This window comes from Homo sapiens, chromosome 11 (genome assembly GCF_000001405.40).
Source record: "Homo sapiens chromosome 11, GRCh38.p14 Primary Assembly".
Lineage (NCBI taxonomy): Eukaryota > Metazoa > Chordata > Mammalia > Primates > Hominidae > Homo > Homo sapiens.
The window spans coordinates 33,055,738-33,079,763 of NC_000011.10; the positions used below are offsets into that span (position 1 = coordinate 33,055,738).

At 45.2% G+C, this 24,026-nt stretch overlaps 1 protein-coding gene, 1 long non-coding RNA gene and 1 pseudogene across 11 annotated transcripts in view, besides 3 other annotated features; 2 read left to right on the forward strand and 1 right to left on the reverse strand.

Annotated features, from left to right (window-relative positions):
- The window catches only part of TCP11L1 (t-complex 11 like 1), a 33,992-nt gene extending 16,166 nt beyond the window's left edge, over positions 1-17,826 (forward strand). For 5 of the 10 annotated variants that reach the window (XM_017017989.3, XM_011520205.3, XM_011520206.3 and 2 more), the window contains 7 exons: positions 1,378-1,498; positions 2,182-2,402; positions 3,222-3,358; positions 5,778-5,989; positions 10,093-10,274; positions 12,950-13,122; positions 16,737-17,826. In XM_017017989.3, the coding sequence (XP_016873478.1) occupies positions 1,378-1,498; positions 2,182-2,402; positions 3,222-3,358; positions 5,778-5,989; positions 10,093-10,274; positions 12,950-13,122; positions 16,737-16,939 (1,249 nt within the window). In that variant the 3' untranslated portion in view covers positions 16,940-17,826. Of the gene's footprint in view, positions 1-1,377; positions 1,499-2,181; positions 2,403-3,221; positions 3,359-5,777; positions 5,990-10,092; positions 10,275-12,949; positions 13,123-16,736 lie in introns of those variants that run through there. The other 5 variants (XM_011520207.3, XM_017017990.2, NM_001145541.1 and 2 more) reach the window with 3 other exon arrangements.
- Positions 5,085-6,284: an enhancer, noted in NCBI's record as "MED14-independent group 3 enhancer chr11:33082368-33083567 (GRCh37/hg19 assembly coordinates)". NCBI's record gives its function as "activates an origin of replication core promoter dependent on BRD2, BRD4, P300/CBP and CDK7 cofactors, and independent of MED14, by STARR-seq in HCT116 cells {active_cell/tissue: HCT116}" and the evidence as "EXISTENCE:reporter gene assay evidence [ECO:0000049][PMID:35650434]".
- Positions 5,909-5,958: an enhancer, noted in NCBI's record as "active region_4573". NCBI's record gives its function as "activates an Ori minimal core promoter by ATAC-STARR-seq in GM12878 lymphoblastoid cells {active_cell/tissue: GM12878}" and the evidence as "EXISTENCE:reporter gene assay evidence [ECO:0000049][PMID:35858748]".
- Positions 12,514-13,015: an enhancer, noted in NCBI's record as "H3K27ac hESC enhancer chr11:33089797-33090298 (GRCh37/hg19 assembly coordinates)". NCBI's record gives its function as "activates a minimal SCP1, AML or CMV promoter by ChIP-STARR-seq in primed H9 embryonic stem cells {active_cell/tissue: H9 hESC(primed)}" and the evidence as "EXISTENCE:reporter gene assay evidence [ECO:0000049][PMID:30033119]".
- Positions 19,338-20,981, reverse strand: PIGCP1 (phosphatidylinositol glycan anchor biosynthesis class C pseudogene 1; annotated as a pseudogene).
- LINC00294 (long intergenic non-protein coding RNA 294) lies at positions 20,413-23,717 on the forward strand. Its single transcript, NR_015451.1, has one exon. It is a non-coding gene; the product is annotated as a long intergenic non-protein coding RNA 294 (long non-coding RNA).
- The last annotated feature ends 309 nt before the right edge of the window (positions 23,718-24,026 follow it).

The window sequence follows — 24,026 nt, forward strand, 5'->3', positions numbered from 1 at the left end:
TCTGCAAAGATGGTACTTTTTTGCATTTAATAGTGAAGAATTGCTTGTTTTGTGCTCAAGACAGAAAGACATTTTTATTGTTGTTGTTGTTGTTTTTTGAGATGGAGTGTCGCTCTGTCGCCCAAGCTGGAGTACAGTGGCATGATCTTGGCTCACTGCAACCTCTGCTTCCCAGGTTCAAGTGATTCTCTTGACTTAGCCTCCTGAGTAGCTGGGATTATAGGCGTGCGCCACCATGCCCAGCTAATTTTTGTATTTGTAGTAGAGACAGGGTTTCACCTTGTTGGTCAGGCTGGTCTCAAACTCCTGACCTTGTTATCTATCTGCCTCAGCCTCCCAAAGTGCTGGGACTACAGGTGTGAGCCACTGCGCCAGCCATTGTTGTTTTTTGAGACGGAATCTTGCTCAGTTGCCTAGGCTGGAGTGCAGTGGTGCAGTCTCAGCTCACTGCAGCCTCCATCTCCTAGGTTCAAGCAATTCTCCTGCCTCAGCCTCCTAAGTAGCTGGGACTATAAAGCATGCACCACCACACCCAGCTAATTTTTGTATTTTTAGTAGAGATAGTATTTCACCATGTTGGCCAGGCTGGTCTTGAACTCCTGACCTCAGGTGATCCTCCCGCCTTGGCCTCCCAAAATGCTGGGATTACAGGCATGAGCCACCACACCTGGCCAATACTGGTTTTAATGAAATGTTATGTTGTATATATAAGTTGTTACAGTTTGGTACCTAGTTAAGCAGTTGTCCCATGTATCACATGGAAATATGATATTTTTAGGAAATAAAGTCCTTCAACCTACTACATACTGAATTGTTATCTTATTATTATTATTTTATTTTTTTGAGACAGAGTCTCGCTCTGTTGTCCAGGCTGGAGTGTAGTGGCACTATCTCGGCTCACTGCAACCTCTGGCCAGGCTGATCTCGAACTCCTCACCTCAGGTGAACTGCCTGCCTCGGCCTCCAAAAGTGCTGGGATTACAGGCGTAAGTCACAACGCCCAGCCTAAATTGTTATCTTAGACTACCTAATTATAAACATCTTAGGAAACTTACTAGTAACAGGGAACTAAAATTAACAGCTTTGAACTTTCCAATATTCTTATTATATGGCACTGTCATATGCTGTTTCTTGGATTAATGTTGGCTATCCAGTTAGTTGAGAGCGATTCTTTCCAATGAGATGCTTATTGCAAAAAATCACTAACTTTTAAAATAAAGTATGCCCTCAGTTGAAGTATGCCTGGGAAATCTTTCCTTGGTCCAAATCACTGGGATTGATCTTACCCTAAACCCATAGTATTTGTGCTTTTGAAAGTGATTTGAAACTCAAATATTTTGGTTTTTGCCCCCCTCCTTTTTTTTTTCACTGCCCCAGCTTGAAGAAGAGAGTAAAGGAGATTGTACATAAAGCGTTTTGGGATTGCTTGAGTGTGCAGCTAAGTGAAGATCCCCCAGCATATGACCATGCTATCAAACTTGTAGGAGAAATCAAAGAGGTGAGGCAAAGAGTGAATTGTGATGCTTTTCTGGTGTGTTAGGAGTGTTTATTCAACTTCTTGTGTCACCACCAGAAGACTTTAAAGAAATTGAAGGATCAAGAAGTTAAAGTACTTGCCAGAAGGTGGATCAAGAGTGTTTTTGGCTTAATGCCCTTTTTTAAAAAAAAGTTTTAAGCAAACCATGATAACCTGAAGGCATTTAAGACAACAAAGTTATTTCACAAAATCTAGTTTATTTATAAATTTTAATAGGTGTGGACACATTCCATTTATAATGGCCAAAAAGTGACTCAGCCTTTGGGACAGAGAAAGCTTTAGGTGGAGGGACTGTTTTTGCAGCGCCTTTAGCAGTAGCATCAAAGAAGAAATGTATGCATGGAAATTGTCATCAGCTATGGTTGGCTCACAGGCTCACATTAATAAACATGCTTTTCTTTTTTCACCATTAACAGTTTTTTCTTCTATCCATTTAATTGCTACCTAGGGCTTAAATGGAAGCTTAAGTAGCTATTGTAAATGATTTGTAAACATGTTTTTCTGTAGGTTTGTTGAATAAGAAGTAAAATATGTGCAATATTACGTAGCAATTGAGAAGCCCTTATTTGGATAGTTATAAATTACATATAATTAGAAATGATGTCTAAAGAATTTTGATTAAACGTAGCTGTGTTCTCTTGTAGACTCTCTTATCTTTCTTGCTGCCTGGTCATACTAGACTGAGAAACCAGATAACAGAAGTCTTGGATCTGGATCTGATAAAGCAGGAAGCAGAGAATGGGGCGCTAGACATTTCCAAGCTGGCAGAATTCATTATTGGCATGATGGGGACACTGTGTGCACCTGCTCGAGATGAGGAAGTTAAGAAACTAAAGGACATTAAGGAAATAGTGCCCCTTTTCAGGTATGGAAATATGTTAATCATACTCCGTGCAACTACAATTCAGAGGCATTTTCTTTTTTTTCTTTTCTTTTTTTTTTGAGACAGAGTCTCACTCTGTTGCAAAGGCTGGAGTGCAATGGCGTGATCTTGGTTCACTGCAACCTCCACCTCCTGGATTCAAGCAATTGTCGTGCCTCAGCCTCCTGAGTAGCTGGGATTATAGGCACGCACCACCGTGCCCAGCTAATTTTTGTATTTTTAGTAAAGATGGTGTTTCACTACGTTGGCCAGGCTGGTCTCGAACTCCTGACCTCACGTGATTGGCTGCCTTGGCCTCCCAAAGTGCTGGGATTACAGGCGTGAGCCACTGTGCCCAGACCAGAACTATTTTCAATTTAAACTTCCTGAAGTCTTGGTACTCATGGATTTAAAAAAAAAAAAAAAATTTGTAAAATGCAGAAAAGTAAAAAGAAGACATTTACTCATAATTTTACCTCTCAGAGGCATAATCACTCTTATCATTTTGATACATAGATATATTTTTTATACATTAATTTCCTTCAACATTTTCTTTTGAAAAATTCCAAACCTACAGAAAAGTTACAAAAACAGTACAATCAACACTCACAAGCCCTTCATGTGGATCCATCAGTTTTTATCATGTTGTCACATTTGCTATGCTGCCCAGGCTGGTCTGGAACTCCTGGGCTCAAGCAGTCCTCCCGCCTTGGCCTCCCAAAGTGTTGGGATTACAGGTGTGAGCCACGCGTCTGGTCCTCTTTTCCTTTAATGCTATGTTTACTTTACAAATGCTTGCTTCTAAATCCTTTTTTCTTTCAGAGAAATTTTTTCTGTGTTGGACCTAATGAAAGTGGACATGGCCAACTTTGCTATCAGTAGCATCAGGCCTCATCTCATGCAGCAGTCAGTTGAATACGAAAGGAAGAAGTTTCAAGAGATTTTGGAGAGGCAACCAAGTATGTTGAATATTTTGTGGTACTTTTTTTGTTGTCTGTGGTTTTTCATTTTAGCTGCCATAGCTTGTTGCATAATATTATTTTCAGAACAAAACTAAAATTTAGTAGGAGAATAGTCTAATTTGAAGAAGGAAAAGCACAAAATGTTGGGACTACATCTAGAGTTGTTAAGCATTGAAAAGAAAACTTAATTCACAAGCAAAAGGAATGTGAGTAGGCTATGAGAATAGAAATTAAAAACAATGAATTCCTAAATTATAAATGGTTTTTTGATGAAAACACCAGTTTGAAGTAAAATACATTCTTGGTCTTGATTTTTGAAAACATGACAGACATCCTGTGAATGTTAATTCACTTTTCTTCTCCCTGTGTGGCACAGCAGGAAATTTAACTTTGCTTTTGTTCTGGATGCATAAATCTTCTTGTTTCATACCCAGGAAGAGTCTCATTTTTATGAACCTCTCCGATGACTGCAGAAAACAGACGACTCTCAGAATCTAAAACTACGTTGTATTTCTAGGGTGCTTTTTATGGTCTCTGCATTGCTAACTGACATTCTGGGTAAATTTCAGTCTTCAGATTCAATGTATGATGAATTCCATTTGGCCTCTAACTTTGCTGACGAGGAGATGAAAACAGCAGTCTCTGGGTTGGTTGGGTTGCCTGACCAGATTAGTTAAGTGAATGCCCCATGCAGTTGATTCATCCAGCCCCAGGCAGAGGAGTCTGAGGTAGTGCTGGGGCCGGGGCAGGTTGAGAAAGGACAGGGTAGAGGTAGAAGTAGAAGAAGTTTGGTAATGTTTACTAAGTGCCAGGCTTGTGCCAAGGGCTGGATGTACATGATCATATGTAATCCTCACACAGTAAGCTGATGAGCCAGGCACCTTTTTTTTAATCCCATTTTACAGATGTTGGAAACAGGTTTTGGGAGATTTTTGACCAGAATGGATTGACCACAAGCTCACACTCTCACCAGTGTTGTGAGAGTACTGGGAAGAGTTTTTTCTTGTTGTTGTTGTTGTTTTCTTTGAGATAGAGTCTCCTCACTCTGTCACCCAGGCTGGAGTGCAGTGGCACGATCTCTGCTCACTGCAACCTCCGCTAGGCAGAGTTTTGTAGCCTGAAGAGCCGTAATATTAAGGCCTGGACCTGGAAGCTGGGGCATAGTGGAGGACTCACTGGTAGGGTGGAAGCAGCTACAGTGCCTGCATCTAGCACTTAACTCACAACATGAAAGCCTGGGTTTCCCAAAGCTGGGGGGTTACGGAGAATATTATCAGCAGAAGAGAGGGTGAAGCCAGATGGCCCAGGAGTCATGACCGAGAGCTCAGGGTAAACTGGAGCTGCATCCCCCTGCCCCAGTGAAGAGCAAACCACAGCTGTGACCTTGGCCGCCCACTTGGTTTTAAGGAAGCAGGAAGCCTCCACTAACAGAGCTGCAACACCTGCTGGGACCTGACAGGTGCAGTTTTTATCAGATGATGTGTGAGATCCTCCAGCTCTCTCTCTGTATCCCTCAGAGTGCCCCCTGCATTACCAAGCTTAGAAAAGCAGGGGTGCAGGAGGGCTGCTGAAAGCCAGATGGGGCTTCCCTGACAGAGTTCACTTTCCCCCAGGTTGAAAGGAAGCCAGATTGATACAAGGTTAAGATCTAAACAAGGAAAAGCCTCATCATCAGTGTAGAGGATACTTTACACAGGGAAACTCTAGCTGGTGTCTCATCCTATCTGTCTCTAGAGCTGGAGTTGCCAGGGCTTTGGGGTCCATCTCATGCAGTGGTCAGGATGGGAGAGAAGGGAAGGAAGGTTTGTTAAATACCAGGTGGGTGGCAAGGCCTGGCTAGGTGTCATGTATTTGTTACTATTATTATTATTATTTTAGACAGGGTCTAGCTCTGTCCCCCAGGCTGGAGTACAGTGGTGTGATCACCACTCACTGCAACTTTAACCTCCAGGACTCAAGTGATTCTCCTGCCTCAGCCTCCCAGCTAGCTGGGGCTACAGGCATGTGCCACCATGCCCAGCTAATTTTTGTATCTTTTGTAGAGACAGAGCCTTGCCACATTGCCCAGGCTGGTCTCGAACTCCTGGGCTCAAGCAGTCTTCCCACCTCAGCCTCCCAAAGTGCTGGGATTACAGGCATGAGCCACCATGCCTGGCTTATTCATTATCTTGTTTAATCCTCACAACAGCCTGTGAGGTGGGTGTTGTAAATTTGCCTATATCAGGCATCTGAAACTCAGACACATTATGACTTGCCTGAGATCCCTCAGTTAGTCATTGGCACTACTATGATTTGATCCAAGTTTTATTTGATTCCAAAGTTCATACTTTATACTTTATCACTCCACCAGGACATCGATTGTCCCTTAAGTAATTCCGAGAAGCATCCCTTCTTGGTGTCAAGGTAATGTGTGCAGCTTTGTTTTTCACAGATTCCCTGGACTTTGTCACCCAGTGGCTGGAAGAAGCCTCAGAGGACCTTATGACTCAGAAGTATAAACACGCCCTGCCAGTGGGGGGAATGGCTGCTGGCTCTGGGGACATGCCCAGGCTGAGCCCTGTTGCTGTCCAGAATTACGCTTACCTGAAGCTTCTGAAGTGGGACCACCTCCAGAGGCCGTTCCCCGAAGTAGGTCTCCTGAGCCATCTCACTACTCATATTTGTTTTTGTGCTGCTGAACTTTTTAAAAAGAATAGCTTTGGCCAGGCACGGTGGCTCACTCCTGTAATCCCAGCACTTTGGGAGGCAGAGGCAGGCAGATTGCTTGAGGTCAGGAGTTCAAGACTTGCCTGGGCAACATGGCAAAACACCCTCTGTACTAAAAATACAAAAAATTAGCTGGGCGTGGTAGCAGGGGCCTGTAGCCCCAGCTACTTGGGAGGCTGAGGCAGAGAATTGCTTGAACCTGGGAGGCGGAGCTTGCAGTGAGCCAAGATTGCACCACTGCACTCCAGCCTGGGCGACAGAGCGAGACTCTGTCTCAAAAAATAAAAATAAATAAGTAAATAAATAAAATAAAAAATAAAAAGAATAGCTTTATTCTGATATAATTCATGTACCAGAAGATTCTCCCTTTTAAAGTGTACAACTCAGTGTTTTCTAGTATAGTCACAGAGTTACGCATCCATTGCCACTGTTTAATTGAGAACATTTTCATCACCTCCAATAGAAACGCTGCATCCATCAGCGGTCACTGCCCTCCCCCCCTCCCTCCAACGCCTGAAGCCACAGATCTGCTTTCTGTCTCTATGGATTTGCCTATCCTGGACATTTTATTTAAATGAAATCATACACTACCAGCCTTTTGTGCCTGGCTTCTTTCACCAATGTTTTTTCACGTTGTAGCACATATAGCAGTAGTTTAGTCCTCTTTTCCACTGTGTTTTTTTTGTTGTTGTGGTAAAATACACATAACATAAAATTTACCATTTTAACCATTTCTAGTTGTCCAGTTCAGTGGCATTAAGTGCATCCACATTGTTGTGCAACCATTGCCACCAGCCACCTCCAAAACATTTTCATTTTTCCTTCTGTGAAACTGTCTTCCCACCAAACACACCAAACAGTAATTCCCATTGCCCCCGCCCTCTGGCCCCTGGCAGCCACCATTCTACTTTGAGTCTCTGTGAATTGGACTAATCCGGGTACTTAATATGAGTGGAATTATACAATCTTTGTCCTTTTGGGTCTGGCTTATTTTACTTAGCATAATGTCTTCAAGGTTCATTTATGTTGTAGTATGTGTCAGTGTTCCCTTTCTGGGTTTTTTAAAATTTTTTTAAATTTTAGAGACAGGGTCTCATTGAATTGCTCAGGCTAGGTGGTACGACAGCTCACTGTAACTTTGAACTTCAGGGCCCAAGTGATCCTCCTGCCTCAGCCTCCTGGGTAGCTAGGACTACAAGAGTGTACCACCACCCCCAGCTAATTTTTAAGTGTGTTTTTTGTGGAGACAGGGGTCTCGCTATGTTACTCAGGCTGATCTTAAACTCCTGGCCTCAAGTGGTCCTCCCTCCTTGGCCTCCCAGTGTTGGGATTACAGGCATGAGCTACCATGCCCAGCCCTCCTTTCTTTTTTAGGCTGAATAATATATTTTACTGTATGGATGTACCACATTTTGTTTATTCATTCATCAGTTGACAAACATTTGGGTTGTTATTATAAATTATGCTTCTGTGAATATTCCAGTACAAGTTTTTGCATGGACATATGTTTTTACCTCTCTTGGTTACGTACCTAGGATTAGAATTGCTGGGTTACATGGTGACTCTTAAGTTTAACATTTTGAGGAACTGCCAAACTGATTTCCAAAGCAGCTGCATCATTTTACCATCCCACCAGCAATGTATGAGGCTCCAGTCTGTGCTGCTGAATTTTTCTCCTGTTTTTACTCATCTTGATGGAAACCACAACAGAGGTGTGGTTGTTCACAGCTTTATCTAAAGAAACTTCTTCCCCTTCCATGCTGAACAATATTTTTTTCTTTTTATGTTTTTCACAATACATACTTCTAACTGCAAGACCTCTTTAAGAAGATGACTAAGAAGGGATTCCCCCAGTGTTTCTCTAAATAGCTGTTTTGTTATGTAGACTCCCCCTCTCTTTTTGGGGGGTACGTGAGCTTCTTATCACTAGCCTCAGATCCAGATACTTCTCTAAATATCTTTCTTATAAGTTCCTTATTTTTCCTTTCAAGAAGTTGTGAGCTTAAGGTTTCACCTCTTGCCTCTGAGTTCCCCGTTTTGTGCTGGAGGAAGCTCTAAAGAGAATGTCAAATTGGAGATGGGAAAATGTTCCCTTTGAACTGTGGCATGTTCTCTTCTGGAGGGAAGTTCTCAGCCTGACATGTCTATTTAAAAATAGCTGTGGGAGACCATCCAATACCTCCCTTTTCCCCACCGCTGATCATCTTCCCCAGGCCTTAGATACCCCTGCTTCTTCATCCCATAAATATCCCTAAGCCCTCTCTATGGAGAGGGGGATGTGAGACCTGTTCTCCAGCCTCCTCACTTGGCAGTCTTATGAATAAACCCTCTCGTAAAAAAAATAAATAGAAAAGAAAAGAAAAGAAACGCTGTGGGGAAGATGGTGATGGTCCCTGGGGACAGCTGTCTACTCCAGGAATTGATCCTTGGCAATCTGCATCCTAAACTCACGTCCTGCTGTTGGGAAGCCACAAAGCCATGTGAAGTCAGAAAACAGGCCGACGATGAGTCCTTGGGATTGTATTTGTATCAGCAGAGGATTCTCAATCCTCAGGGTTTTTACTTCTTGGCTGTGACCCACATTGTTCATGTCTTGACTTGGCAAATCTCAGTTTCTGACAGCAAGAAAGGTCCTTAGAGTCCATTCGATGAGCCTGTAAACTCTCAGATCAGATTCCCATCTGTGCAGCCTTTCCCTTCTCCTTCCCTCAGCCACACGGGTGGGGGCGCTGGCATGGTAGGACCCAGGACTGTCTTTAACATGGGGGAGGCAGTCATGGGAATGTGCTTGCTTTCCGGGAGGCTTTAGATTGTTCTCTGTCACTTCTACTCTCTGTGCTTCCTGTTTCTTTCTCTTCCTCTTTATTTACTCGCCAGTTCTTACAAGCTTCCTTTGTGCTGGGTGCTGAGCGGATACCAAGATGAATAAGTGTAGGCTCTGCCTGCAAGGCAGTCCTCCCTTCCATTGCTCTGGGATTTTTGTTGTTGTTGTTTTAAGATGGAGTCTCACTATGTTGTCCAAGCTGCAGTGTAGTGGCTATTCACAGGCATAATCGTAGTGCACTGCAGCCTCGAAATTCCGGCCTCAGTGATCTTCCTGCCTGAGCCTCCCAGTAGCTGGGACTGCAGGCACCCACCATCGCACCTGGCCTTCCATTGCTCTGTACAGGGTGACTGGCTGTCCTAGTTTGCTAGGGACTGAGTGAGGGTTCACAGGACTTGGGAATTTCCATTTGAAAACTGGGACAGTCCCAGACAAACTGGGAGGAGTTGGTGACCCTAGGTCTGTGCCTCATTATACTTTTCTTCCTAACAATAAGTATAACTTTTATTTATCGAGTGCTGGCTCTGCCAGCCACTTTATATGTAGCATCTTTCTTCAGCTTTAAAACAGCCCTGTGATGTGGGAGTCCCCATTCTGCAGAGGCCCGACAAAGTTGGGGATGCATGCATGAGGTCATGCTATTTTTTTTTTTGAGAAGGAGTTTCACTCTTGTTGCCCAGGCTGAAGTACCAAGGTGCAATCTCAGCTCACTGCAACCTCTGCTTCCTGGGTTCAAGAGATTCTCCTGCCTCATCCTCCCGAGTAGCTGGTATTATAGGCATGCACCACCACACCCGGCTAGTTTTGTATTTTTAGTAGAGATGGGGTTTTACCATGTTGGTCAGGCTGGTCTTGAACTCCTGACCTCAGGTGATCTGCCCACCTCGGCCTCCCAAAGCGCTGGGATTACAGGCGTGAGCCACCGCGGCCAGCCGGGGAGGTCATGGTATTAAGCACGGAGCCTGGCTTTACACCCAGGCCTGTCTGTGTTCTTAGTGAGGGCGCTATACTGCATCCTTGCTCAGGAGGAACGGCTCTGAGATAGAGGGGTTATTTCACACCAGACTCCCTCAAAGCTCTGACACACTAGCGCAAACCCTGAGGGAAGCTGCAGAGGCAGGTGTGGGGGCTGTGGCGCTCCCGCCCTCTGCTGGCCAACCTGGACCTGCAGCTCAGCGATGGCCTCTTCTATTCATTACAGACAGTTTTAATGGACCAGTCTCGCTTCCACGAGCTCCAGTTGCAGCTGGAACAACTGACCATCCTGGGGGCTGTGTTGCTGGTCACCTTCAGCATGGCAGCGCCAGGAATTTCCAGCCAGGCCGACTTTGCTGAGAAACTCAAGATGATTGTGAAGATTTTGCTAACAGATATGCACCTGCCGTAAGTGGAACTTTGATGCGTGGATGGGACGCAGTGGATGTCAGAGAGCCGACTGGAGTCTCCCAGAGGGGTCTCCCACTGTAAGGCAGAGCCCAGGGCCACTCTCTAGGAACTGAGAAGAAACCTTGCTGTCTCAGTTGGTTCACTTGGCGAAGACCCCAGCAGAGTTTATTTAGGGTCATAGGGTCAAAGTTAGAATCTGCTGCAGGGTTAGCAGAGCTCTAGGATAGTGGCTTCAAAATGTGTGTGACTAGCCGAGTAGCCTGTCGGGCCTTAGAGGCCACACCAAGGAGTTGGGTTATTGTCCTAAGAGCAGTAGGGAGCCATTGAAGGATTTGAAGCAAGAGGGGGAACGTAATTAGATTTATGCCCTTAAGTTTAAATTTTGGCATGGGGCACATAGTAGATGTGAGGGAGCATTTAGGAGGCGAGAGAAGAAGTGGCTCGGGCTGGGGGGTAAGCCATGAGCAGGGTGGGGAGCGCTGGTACCAATGGTTGCTTGCCTTGAGGAATTGGAGATCCCGGGCTTAGAGGTCCCGCGGCCCTCCATTCCCTGTTAGCATGCTCCTCCCGGGGCCTGGCTCGGTGTTGAGTGCCATCAACTCATTTGTTCTCCCTACGCAGGGAGCAGGATGCTGTCTGACCCCTTCCTTCTTTAATGGGGTTGTCTTTGTCTCCTGACCTCCAAGGTTCTTGTGTTTGTTTGTTGAGTGCTTTATTCCTCTCCCAAAGCCATTCAAATGTATTAAACTCTTACTGGAGCTTATGAAGAAACTGGAACCCAGAGACATTAATTGGGACAAAAATGTTTGTGACTAGGACCTGCAGTAAGAAATTCATTTTCCATTGTGACCTAGTACACACTTAACACACGTGTAACAGAAACGAAAACTTCTCAAACTGGAACTGACCCTAACTGTGTTTAATGCAGCCTGATTGTTTCTACTCTATTCTTATTCCATTAAAAAAAAAAATTGGTTGCTACCCACTGAATTGCTTTCATAACCGACTAACAGTGAAAAGCAGAGCCCTAGAGGAAGGTCATGAGAGAAACCAGCTATATTCCTGCAGAGCTGCATGTATGTGGTTGAAGTGTTCTGCCCTTGCTTGTTCCCTGTAGGCGTTCTGTGCTCAGTGTAATGCATCATTTTCTTACCCAGCACGAGTCCGCATCTGCACGCGTGCAGGCTTCAGTGACCGCTCCTACCATGGAGTCATGTTGGGTGACTTCTATGGTTTCCAGCCTATAGAATATCTTTGAGTGGTTCTAAGTAAATGCTCTATCTAACAAGGTCCAATTCAGAGACTTCTTCAAGGGAAGTACCCCCTAAACATTCTCATCCTTACAAAATGGAGGAATTTTACTGCTGAATTTTCACAAAGCATGGCTGTGTTCAGTGCAGTGTGGGGCGTGTCCGTAAGTTGTGACTAGGGCCTCAACAGTTTTGACAGTCAAACTAGTTTGCTGAGAGGCCAGGAAACTTGTTTGCTCAGCTGAGGGCCTAGCCTGAGGCCTTTGCACAGGTACAGCTCTGGGCTGTCACCTAGGTCCCCTGCCTGGAGAACTACTCTGTCAAAGCTCCCGCTGAGGGTGGGATCCAGGTCAGTGCTTTCTTGGGAGCCCAGCCTTGCACTCCCATATCCTCCCTGGTCCTCCAGGGGTGGGCACAGAGCTGGTGCCAATGGTGAGTGCCAGGGCTTGCTCCCATGCCCCCCAGTAATTCTACATACAAAGGATCTAGACCCACAACAGAGGCAGTTACCTTCTCACAGCATGCCTGCCAGCATGGGGGCTCCCCACAGGCACCCTGGGAGAGCCTGGGGGACCCAGGGTATCCAGGTACTCTTTTTTTTTAACTTTAGGATTTCACTTTTCGTTATTCTTTTATTTTTTAAAAATTTTTTAATTTTTATATATTTTTTTATTTTTTTGTGATGGAGTTTCACTCTTGTTGCCCAGGCTGGAGTGCAATGACGTGATCTCGGCGTCCACTTCCTGGATTCAAGTGATTCTCCTACCACAGTCTCCTGAGTAGCTGGGATTACAGGCACCTATCACCATGCCCAGCTAATCTTTTTGTATTTTTAGTAGAGATGGGGTTTCACCATGTTGGCCAGGCTGGTCTTGAACTCCTGACCTAGAACTCCTGATCCATCTGCCTTGGCCTCCCAAAGTTCTGGGATTATAGGCGTGAGCCACTGAGCCCGGCCTCTTTATTCTTTTAAAATTAGTTAATACATGTGTATGTTTCAAAAATCAAAAGGTACAAAAGGGCATCCAATGAAGAGTTTCTCTCTCCCTCTTGTCCCACAGCTACCAAATGCCTGCTTTCTTGTGTATTCCTCCAGAGGTATATCAAGATATTCTGAGGTCATTCCAGGCTGATTTTATCACACAGAGGCTAGCAGGAAGTTGTGCTTTGGGTCGTTGGTCCTGGTATACTCTGAGCCCCTGCCCTTCCCACTGTCCTTTCTAGCAGAGGGAGAGAAAGAAAGTCCCCCTGGTCAGGTATGCACAGCCTGAGAGGTAAGGTGGCAGGGAAAAGAGTCTCAAATTGTCCCTTGAACACACAAATCCAGTTATTGGTGCCGTCATTCTCACCCGGGTGTGGGCGGTTGGAGCTGGTTAGAGGTGTATTTTACTTATAGGCCCTTTCTCCCCTCCTCTGCCCCAGCTCCTTCCATCTGAAGGACGTCCTCACTACCATCGGGGAGAAGGTGTGCCTGGAGGTGAGCAGCTGCCTCTCCCTGTGTGGGTCCTCTCCCTTCACCACGGACAAGGAGACCGTGCTCAAGGGCCAGATCCAGGCCGTGGCCAGTCCCGATGACCCCATTCGCAGGATCATGGGTACGTTTGGGGAAGGCAGGCAGCAGGGATGTGCCCTCTGAGGGGCTGGAGCACGAGTCCATCTGAAGAAACCTGAGGGCTCAGCTGGAGTTAAGGTGCTGATGGGTGAGGAGATGGTGTAATGAAGCACCACAGAGAGACCAGGGCCACCCAACAGATGGGCACAGGACCAGGCAGCCATCATTGTTCTAAGGGCTGCAACCTTGGAATCACTCTCCTGGGTTCACAAGCAGTGTCCCAGGGCAGCTTGGGCGTGTAACTTGACACTCGAGTTTCCTCATCTCTAAAGCAGGAATAAGGGCAGCAACCTTACAAGGTCGCTGCAGGAACTCCCTGGGATGAGAAGGTGAAGCGCTTTCCGTAGTGCCTGGCAGCACATAGTAAGTGCTCAGTAAATAGGAGCTGTTACGAAAAGAGCTGAATAGTAAAATGAAGATGTTATTTAAAAATACTATTAAAATATTATTAAATATTAGTATGTAATACTATTAACATATCAAATATAATAACTTAAAATGGTAATATTAAGATATTGCTATTTAAAATTTATAATAAACTTGAAGTATTAAAATATTTTAATGCATATTCTATAAAATATTTAAAATATTCTATAATATTAGCTATTAGTTATCACAGCAATGGCTTTATGAAAAATTCTGTTAATTAGCTCGACTTAATCATTTTGTAGTATATACATACATTTAAAACATCATGCTGTATGCTGTGAATACATAGTTTTGTTTGTTTGTTTTTGAGACAGGGTCTCACTCTGTCTTCCAGACTGGAGTGCAGTGATGCGATCTCGGCTCACTGCACTCCACCTCTGTGCTCCACCTCCCAGGCTCAAGCAGTCCTCCCACTTCAGACTCCCAAGTAGCTGGGACTACAGGCATGCACCACCACACCCAGCTAATTTTTTGTATATCTTCTAAAGATGGGGTTTTGCCTTGTTGGCCAGGCTGGTCTCAAATTCCTGGACTCAAGTGATCCGCCTGCCTCAGCCTCCCAAAGTGCTGGGGTTAACAGGCACGAACCACTGCATCCAGCCAAGATTTATACTCACAACCTTCATAGGGAGGCAGGAAAGTGCCTGTAAGTAGACCTGTGGCCAGCAAGTTGCTACTCATCCTGCTGCCTGGGTTGTTTTGTAATAGCCAGTTACCGACAGATTGAAAACCAGCCCTTAAGGGGAGGATCACTTAAAACCAGGAGTTCGAGACTATCTGGGCAGCATAGTGAGACCCCATCTCTACAAAAAATTAAAAAAAAAAAATTAGCCAGGTTAGTGACATGCATCTGTAGTCCTTGCTACTCGGGAGGCTGAGGCAGGAGGATCACTTGAGCCCAGGAGTTTGAGGCTGCAGTGAGCTACAATTTCACCACTGCACTCCAGCCTGGGTGACAGAGCAAGACCCTGTTTCTAAAAGAAAGAAAGAAAGAAAAGAAAAACCAGTCTTTGGGTAGGAACAATACAAAGATTTCTACTTCAGTGAGGCTGCCAGCCCTGGGAACCTTAGAGAACCAAACTAACTTAAGAATAAGGGTGCTGAGCACAGTGGCTCATGCCTATAATCCCAACATTTTGGGAGGCCGAGCCGGGCAGTTCACCTGAGATTGGAAGTTCGAGACCAGGCTGACCAACATGTAGAAACTCCGCCTTTACTAAAAATGCGAAATTAGCCAGGCATGGTGGTGCATGCCTGTGATGCTAGCTACTTGAGAGGCTGAGGCAGGATAATCGCTTGAACCTGAAAGGTGGAGATTGTGGTGAGCCGAGATTGTGCCATTGCACTCCAGCCTGGGCAATAAGAGCTAAAGTCTGTCTCAAAAAAAAAAAAAAAAAAAAGAATAAGGGTGATAGGGCCAGGTGTGATGACTCATGCCTGTAATCCCAGCATTTGGGAGGCCAAGGTGGGCAGATTACCTGAGGTCAGGAGTTTGAGACCAGCCTGGCCAACATGGTGAAACCCCGTCTCTACAAAAAATACAAAAATTTCCTGGGCATGGTGGCGTGTGCCTGTAATCCCAGGTACTCGGAAGGCTGAGGCAGGAGAGTCACTTGAACCCAGGAGGCGGGGGTTGCAGTGAGCCGAGATCGCGCCACTGCACTCCAGCCTGGGAGACGAGGGAAACTCCATCTCAAAAAAGAAAAAAAAAAGAAGAAGGGTGATAGGGCTGGGTGCAGTGGCTCACTCCTGTAGTTCCAGCACTTTGGGAGGCGGGGGCAGACGGATCACTTGAGGTCAGGAATTCAAGACCAGCCCGGGCAACATGGTGAAACCCCGCCTCTACTAATAATACAAAAATTAGCTGGGCATGGTGGCATGCGCCTGTAATCCCAGCTACTCGGGAGGCAGAGTGGGGAGAATCGCTTGAACTCGGGAGGCGGAGGTGTAGTGAGCTGAGATTGTGCCACTGCACTGCAGCCTGGGCGACAGAGTGAAACTGTGTCTCGAGAAAAAAAAAGAGTAAGGGTGTTAGGCCCTGTCCTGTCAGCAGTTTCTGTCTGTGTTGTGAGGCTCAGGAGGGTATAAGTTATTTGCACCTGAGAGGATTCCCCAGGCAGGAGGCAAGGCATGTAGTTTGAAAAAGTCTATTCCATATAAATGTCTCTGTTGTTTTTGTGATAAAATCTGCAAGAAGTGTGGCTTGATCAAATCTTTTTTCATGAGGATACACAAGAGTACAAAAGCATTGTGAAGGGGAATGGACTAGAAAAGCATCAACCTAAATTATTCCTCCAAGTAGGACAAGTTTACAAATGCCCATGACTTCCATGCAGGCATCAGAGAAGGAAGCACGAGCTGCTTTCATGGAGGCTTAGTAGGAAAAAAGTCTTTTTTGAACCTGTAATTCCTGCTTTAATCTTCCACCTTTTTATGTGATCGTCAGCGATGGCTAACAATGGTCTCAGGATGTGTTGCTCCTCGGAGAGCAGAGCATGTCTCCAGTCTTCCTTTACTCACTCATGCATTCATTCATTTTTTTTGTTTTGTTTTGTTTGGGGACAGAGTCTGGCTCTGTCGCCCAGGCTGGAGTGCAATGGCATGATCTCAGCTCACTGTAACCTCCACCTCCTGGGTTCAAGTGATTCTTGTGCCTCAGGCTCCCGAGTAGCTGGGACAACAGGTGTGCGCCACCACACCTGGCTACTTTTTATATTTTTAGTAGAGACGGGGCTTCACCACAATGGCCAGGCTGGTCGAACTCTTGACCTCAGGTGACCCGCCCACCTTAGCCTCCCAAAGTGCTGGGATTACAGGCGTGAGCCACCGCGCCTGGCCACTCATGCATTCATTCTTGCATTCCAAGTGTGTTTGAGCTTCTCCTGGGAGCTGGGTCTCATGCCAGTCACTGTGCTGAGTGCTGAGGAGACATGATGAACAAGATGAGCATGGCTCCTACCTTCATGAAACTAACCATCTAGAGGGGAGAGAAAACATTATAAATGGGATGAATATGCAGAAGTGCAAGGTGCTGTGGGTATCTGGTCTGGGAGTATTGATCGGGGACAACTTCCCCTAAGAGGTGATGGTTAAGCTAAGAACTGAAGCACAGTAAGGTTTGTAAGGTGAAGGACAAGAAACAACTGACCACTTTCTTTTTTGTCACAGAATCTCGAATCCTGACCTTCTTAGAAACCTACCTTGCCTCGGGTCATCAGAAGCCATTGCCCACAGTCCCTGGGGGACTCAGTCCAGTTCAGAGAGAGCTGGAGGAAGTTGCTATTAAATTTGCTCGCCTGGTCAACTATAACAAGATGGTCTTCTGTCCCTACTACGATGCAATCCTGAGTAAGATCCTCGTCCGATCCTAACGTGTATGCACCCTACAGCAGCAGTATTACTCACTAGCCACAGAATACCTGTTCTGTACTCTAATGTTGCATTGGAAAATGGCTATATAGTACATGTCTATTTAACAGCACCGATTCCAAAGGGAAGAATATTGTGTATCACTGTTGAAAAGACTTGTTGAGAAATCCACTGAATTCTATTTTGAGAGATTGTATTTATGAGTGCAAGTTTACAAATCAAAGAAGCATTTTGTTCTCGAGTTTTACAGGTAACACTCAGCTGTTGTCTCCACTCCTCCCCCATCATGTCCTTCCAAGGAGGCTGGGACCTCTCTCTTCTGCAATCTGGGTAGTTCTTTCAGATGCCTCATGCTGAGCTGACGGCCATCCAAGCGCAAAAGAGACCAAGCCATGGCCTCACCTCCTGCCCTCCCTCAGACAGCCTTGTCCCTCACCCCTCCCTTCTGGTATTTTTGTTAGAAGGGCTATATAACGTCTTATTGCCATTTTCTCCCCCTATTTATTGCTTCCTCCCTGCCTGGCCTAGCCAGGGCTCCCAAGCCCTTTTTTCTAGAGGAGAGTTATTTGTCTCTCTCTCTTTTTTTTTTTACTTTCTTTTTTGTATTTAAACATTCTTTTAACCTTCCCCCAAAGATACAGTTATTGGACTTTAAAAAGCTTGTTCTTTTATACAAAATTACTCCTGCATCTGGTTGAGAGCAGTTATGACTTATGAGATCTAGTGAAAGGAAAGTCTTTGACTTTCAAGCCTTGAAAGTCAAGGAGGAAATGTATTGAAAAATAGTTTACTGTAATGTGAACGAAGAGAAATGTCTGGAATTCTTACTGAAAAATTGACCCTGAGACAATACACAGATGTGATGATTGAATTAAATTCTGGAATTAGATTTAACTGTTTTCAGATAAAATAGCTTGAGTTCACGAATCTCCTAGATGAGGAAGTCATAGGAAATCCCTGGTGTTTGAGCATTATTTTTCAAGGAACTTCAGTGACCAGAATTCCTGACATGTCCTCTGAGCGTGAGTGATTTGGGTCTCATAGACGATCTGTTCTTTTTTTTTTTTTTTTTTTTTTTTTAAAGTGTACACATGTATGTCTGCATTTTAGACAGGGATGTTATATTAGAAGCAGAGCCATGAAGTTGGAATGACCAACTGCCACAACAGCAAGGGGTAAGACTATATTACTGTATGAGTAATGCAGTAATATCGGCACCTGAAGCCTTCTGTACAGGAAGCTAAGAGAAACTTACAAGTTAGCCGGGCGTGGTGGCTCACGCCTATAATCCCAGCACTTTGGGAGGCCGAGGCAGGCAGATCACCTGAGGTCAGGAGTTTGAGACCAGCCTGGGCAACATGGTGAAACCCCATCTCTACTAAAAATACAAAAATTAGCTGGGTGTGGTGGCACGCGCCTGTAATCCCAGCTACTTGGGAGGCTGAGGCAGGAGAATCGCTTGAACCCGGGAGGCAGAGGCTGCAGTGAGCTGAGATAGCACCACTACATTCCAGCCTGGGCAACAGAGTGAGACTCTGTCTCAAAAAAAGAAAAAAGAAAAGAAACTTGGAAGCCATTTCAGAAAGACTCCAGGAAGGCCAGCAGCCACTCCTGCACAACCAGGGGGAAGGGCTACATTTTACTGCAAGCAGCTGTTTTCTCTGATCCTTCTTTGTAAGGAAGTGCAGTGATTTTGTGTTTTGAAGGAAGACTTGAAGAAGCAGTTGGGTAGGTATTCCAATAGGACTGATGGGGAGGAAATCAGATACTCCATGAGAAGGATTTCAGACCTGGTAGAGTCAGAATACATTCTGCTTTCAGGATTTTTGAGATTGCTGATGGTCCCAGGGTTTATACAAGGACTTGGATCTGGCTATAGAAACTCAGGTAGAAATTACATGTATGCAGATCAGCACTGATGTTGGTTCTAATCTATAATGATGTGATAAATTAAAAAAACAAAACAAAAAACAGGGCTGGGCATGGTGGCTTACACTATAATCCCAGTACTTTGGAATGCCAAGGCAGGAGCATCATCTGAACCCAGGATTTCAAGTCCAGCCTAGGCAACATAGTGAGATCATGTCTCTACAAAAAATACAAAAAAAATTAGCCTGTTGTGGTGGCACACAGTTGTACTCCCAGCTACAAGCTGAGGCTGAGGCAAAAGGATCACTTGTGCCCAGGAGTTTGAGGCTGCAGTGAACTATGATCATGCCACTGTACTCCAGCCTGGGTGACAGAGCCAGACCCTGTCTCTCCTTAACAAAAAAAAGTAGAGCCAGATGTATCTTTTTGGGTCCCAGGCAGGAGACTGGAGAATCTGGGTCACTGTAATCTGGCAGACTGGCTGCATTTTGTGAGGGTACTTTTATTCATATTTATTTATTTTTGTTTGTTTGAATGCATTATTATTTTTTTAATAGAAACCACATCACTTCATTTGTTACAGCGAATAATTCAAGAGGGTCCCAGAAAGCTTTTTCATCCACAGAATTACAGAAAGGATAAGCACCCTCACCACCCAAGCCTTTGGTTCATTTTTTATTTTTTCAAGACGGAGTCTTGCTCTGTCACCCAGGCTGGAGTGTGGTGGCGCGATCTCAGCTTACTGCAACCTCCATCTCCCGGTTTCAAGCGATTCTCCTGCCTCAGCCTCCTGAATAGCTGGGATTACAGGCACGCGCCACCATGCCCGGCTAATTTTTGGATTCTTAGTAGAGACGGGGTTTCACCATGTTGGCCAGGCTGGTCTCGAACTCTTGACCTCGTGATCCATCCGCCTCGGGCCTCCCAGAGTGCTGTGATTACAGTCGTGAGCCACCACACCCGGCCTGTCTTTAAGTTTTATACTAGTTAGGAGGCTAGTCTATCAGAATGTCCCTAATTTAGCTGAGGAACCTAGACAAGTCTTCCTTGATTTCAGCTTCATCCCAAGGCCTCTGAATATTTTCTTTAAAAAGCTGCAGGCGAATGAGGTAAAATGGACAGAGACATGAGATAGAAATCAACAGAAGGGCAAAGAGTACGGCTCCCACAGCACTAATAGGCAGTAGGCCTTCCAAGACCGAAAAGGCAAAAAGCAGTGTGACCACCACATAGCCCTTGGGAGTCCGTGCCTTTAGTTTCTTCTGTAGCATGAGCCACAGGACAAAAATCTGGATGGCAAGTGTTCCCATGATGAAGACATGCAGGGACTGGGGAAGGTGGAAGCCAAGCATCCAGAAGCAAAGATGGCCATGTTCAAGGATAGTGTGCTGGATACAGTGGATACAAAGGCATCATTGGCACCATAGTTAAAAAAGATGAGGTGGCCTACCAGCATGAAGACTGACATGGCATAGATGGTGTCAGTGCTGACAGACTCTGTCAGGGTCTTAGCACTGGTGAAAAGCCATAAGTGAAAGTAATGAAGACTAGGGCACTCTTCAGGTCAGCCCACCGGGTCCACCCACTCTTCTGCCCTTCACCTCCATCAGTGAGATCAAACAAAACATACCCAATCAGTGAAGAAGCCAGGCCAGTCCCAAAAAGCCATTGGGGGGCCAGAAGACCCTCATCCATATACCACCAGATAACCAGAAAAACAAAAACACTGCACAGCTGCGGGATCACCACACTGGACTCAAATACCATAGCCCAATATTGGTATTTCCGAGCATGGATGTTTTTCCAGAGCTCTTCCAGGAACCGCCGGTCCACAAAGTTATCAGGAAAGGGCTGTTGCTCATACAAGACCCTCTGCCACTTTACCTCCTTGGTGTTTGTTACAGGTTGGGTACACATAATCCTTTCATTCAAACTCAGGCTAGTTTAATCATCCCTCTCACAGAGGTCCATGTGGTTCTTGTTGATGACATTTTGAAATGAGACCTCCCTGGAAATTCCATGCCTTGGTTGATATTCTGCTGACCTTTCCTTGTTTTCAAAGGCAGCAATCCAGGCCAGGCCTACAATAGATGAGTTTGTCTCTGAGGCAGGATATAATACAGCCAAGTTCCTGGGGATGCGTGACTGGGAGATGGCAGTTGCCTGCCTTTTTCCTTGTAAGGGTTTTTTTTTTTTTTGAGATGGAGTCTTGCTCTGTCGCCCAGGCTGGAGTGCAGTGGCGCGATCTCGGCTCACTGCAACCTCTGCCTCCCAGGTTCACGCCATTCTCCTGCCTCAGCCTCCCAAGTAGCTGGGACTACAGGCGCCTGCCACCATGCCTGGCTAATTTTTTTGTATTTTTAGTAGAGACGGGGTTTCACCGTGTTAGCCAGGATGGTCTCGATCTCCTGACCTCGTGATCCACCCGCCTTGGCCTCCCAAAGTGCTGGGATTGTAGGCGTGAGCCACTGCGCCCTGCCATGAGGGTACTTTTAAAGAAGATAACATCTTCCATGGTGTATTCAATGAGGTCGTGTCTGGAATTGTTCCCTTAAGGTGGAGGCTGCTCTGTGGCCACTGTGCCTGGCGGTTGTATGATCCTGGGTTCCTGGGCAGAGAAGCCTCAGCCTCAGAGTGTTTGGGGCCTTTTCCTGCCGCTCCAAGGCTGAAGGAGAGGAGCTTAACCCCAACTGCACAGCGCTGATCACCACTTCCTGCAGTCATTCTTCCTAAATCTCAAAAACTCTTCTTTTGTAAGAGTAGATTCTTGCAAGATATTTTTCCCCTCCTGAGTTCTTACATTGCCAGAGTTCCATTTGGACCGTTTGAAATCTTGATGCATGAATAACTGGCTTCACAGACTCTTGGCCGCCCACTACCTCGGTGTCCACTGGTGGAGTTCTGCAACTGGCAAAAGTCAAGAATGAAGGAAGCAAACTTCAGAACCACAATATTCATATTGAATCATTTTGTTGTTGCTCTATGAAGATAAGCTAATTTTCTTCCTGGAATCTCATAGGATTATTACTAAGGGCCAGGGAGATCCACTTCGTTCATTTAGTCACTCAGGAAGCATTGCTAAGCATCCCCCTGTACCTTCCCCTACAGCTCTCCTTCCAAAACGAAACATCCTTTGGAGTGTGTTGTCCTCCAGAATCGAATGGATTCTATATGCTGCATTCAGTAACAGGTTGTGGAGACAAGTGTCTTTTCCTGAAATTGCTAAGTGTATTTGGCAGTACTTTACTACTTGTGGATAGAACTGAGAGTGAGGTCAGTATCACCAAGCCTCTTGGATTTCTTCAGTAGTCTCATGGATAAGTGAATGTTTAAAGTAACTACTACTTTGTTGGCTCTTGGTTGGGTGGATGGATTCTCAGTCCTGGTGTTTTTAAAAATCTCATTCCAGCCGGGCGCGGTGGCTCACGCCTGTAATCCTAGCACTTTGGGAGGCTGAGGCGGGCAGATCACCTGAGGTCAGGAATTCGAAACCAGCCTTACCAACATGGCAAAACCCATCTCTATTAAAAATACAAAAATTAGCCGGGTGTGGTGGCACGTGCCTGTAATCCCAGCTACTCGGGAGGCTGAGGCAGGAGAATCACTTGAACCCTGGAGGTGGTGGTTGCAATGAGCCGAGATTGCGCCATTGCACTCTAGCCTGGGTGACAGAGCGAGACTCCGTCTCAAAAAAAAAAAAAATCGCATTCCGTCTAAAGCAAGCTACAAAATGTGATTATTTATGTCACGATATGACCCAGCCATAAATGTACTTCAGGTAAGAAGGACACTGACATGATATCTTACTGATCAAATGCAGTCAGTAGGTATATATGAACTTTTTTCTCTGTGAAGAAAAGCTATTAATAAGTTTGACTTAATAGGCCTATAGTATGCACATACTGGCCAAGATTCTAAATGGATTATTCAGCGGTTCTGTTTTTGTGGAGGTGCTTATTCTCATTTCTCCAAAGCCTTAAGATTCCTGGGAATAGAGGAAATGTTGCTGCCACCAGCTTTGCTGGTGAATTTCAAAGAGAATAGGTGTTTGCTGTTTGATTTCTAGTGACCTTTTGGCGAGCTCTGATTTATAGGTAGAACATTTGTGTTTCTTTTCATTTTGAGGCCAGGTGGTAGAGTGGAAAGACTGGGAGCTGTCAGGAAACCAAGGCTTGGATCTCCACTCTGTTATGTACCAGCTGGGGCAAATCAGGGCCCATTCCCAACTCCTTTAAAATGAAAGGACTAGACTTGGTCTTTAAGCTCCCTTCCGATTCTAACATTTGGTGGTAGCAGGATTGTGCACAAAGCTCCTAATTTAGAGAAAGATCTGGGTTTTAGTCTTTTCTCCTCTATCGCCGCCTTACCGGTTGTACAACATTGGACCAGCCATTCTCCCCAAGGCCTCGGCATTTTCATTGTTAAATGGGAACACTCCTAATTCACACTGTTGCTGTGAGGATTACATTTGGTAATGAATGATAGAATGCTTTGTACATGGAAAAGGACTATACCTTTCTTTTTTAACTACAAAGGCGAACATGTAACCCTCTACCTGTGGGCGCACATTTGCTGTGGTGTTACGTTCCACTGGTAGCGCCCAACCTCCCTTCATTCAAGCACATTTTACGGGCCTACAGGGAAGGTTTTCTTCCTGTCCTCTCCTAAGACTTGTTTATGTTCATCATCTCTTCTATACTAGAGCTGCAGTCTTACATTTGCTTACTTCCTGACATCCACCCCCACCCCAGTGATTTCTCCCCATCTCCACCTCTATATTATTTGAACTAAATGAATTCATGAATGAACAAATGAGTGGATGAATGAATGGTAATGGATAATGGGCTATGAAGTCATATTTAAAGGCACTATCTCATTTAAAAACAATCTAAATAAATAACTACAATGATATTTGCAAGTGTGTATTTATATTGGATTTTGCATTATATAATTATTTTAATGGAAAGCCTTTTTAGTCATAGTATTCAAAGCAACTTCAATGGGTGGGGAAGGGGATAATCTTTAAGCCCAGGTAAGCTCTGTTTATTAAACGATCAAGTGTTCACTGGTACTTTCAGAAATAGCCAGAGTTCTACAAAATATGTGTTAAAAGTCTAAACATATAATTCTACTTAAAACTGTCCCTCATGTGGGTTTCTGTCACACCTGACTTACATTTATTGCCTACCGAACTTAAGAACCAGAACTAAGCTATAGGCC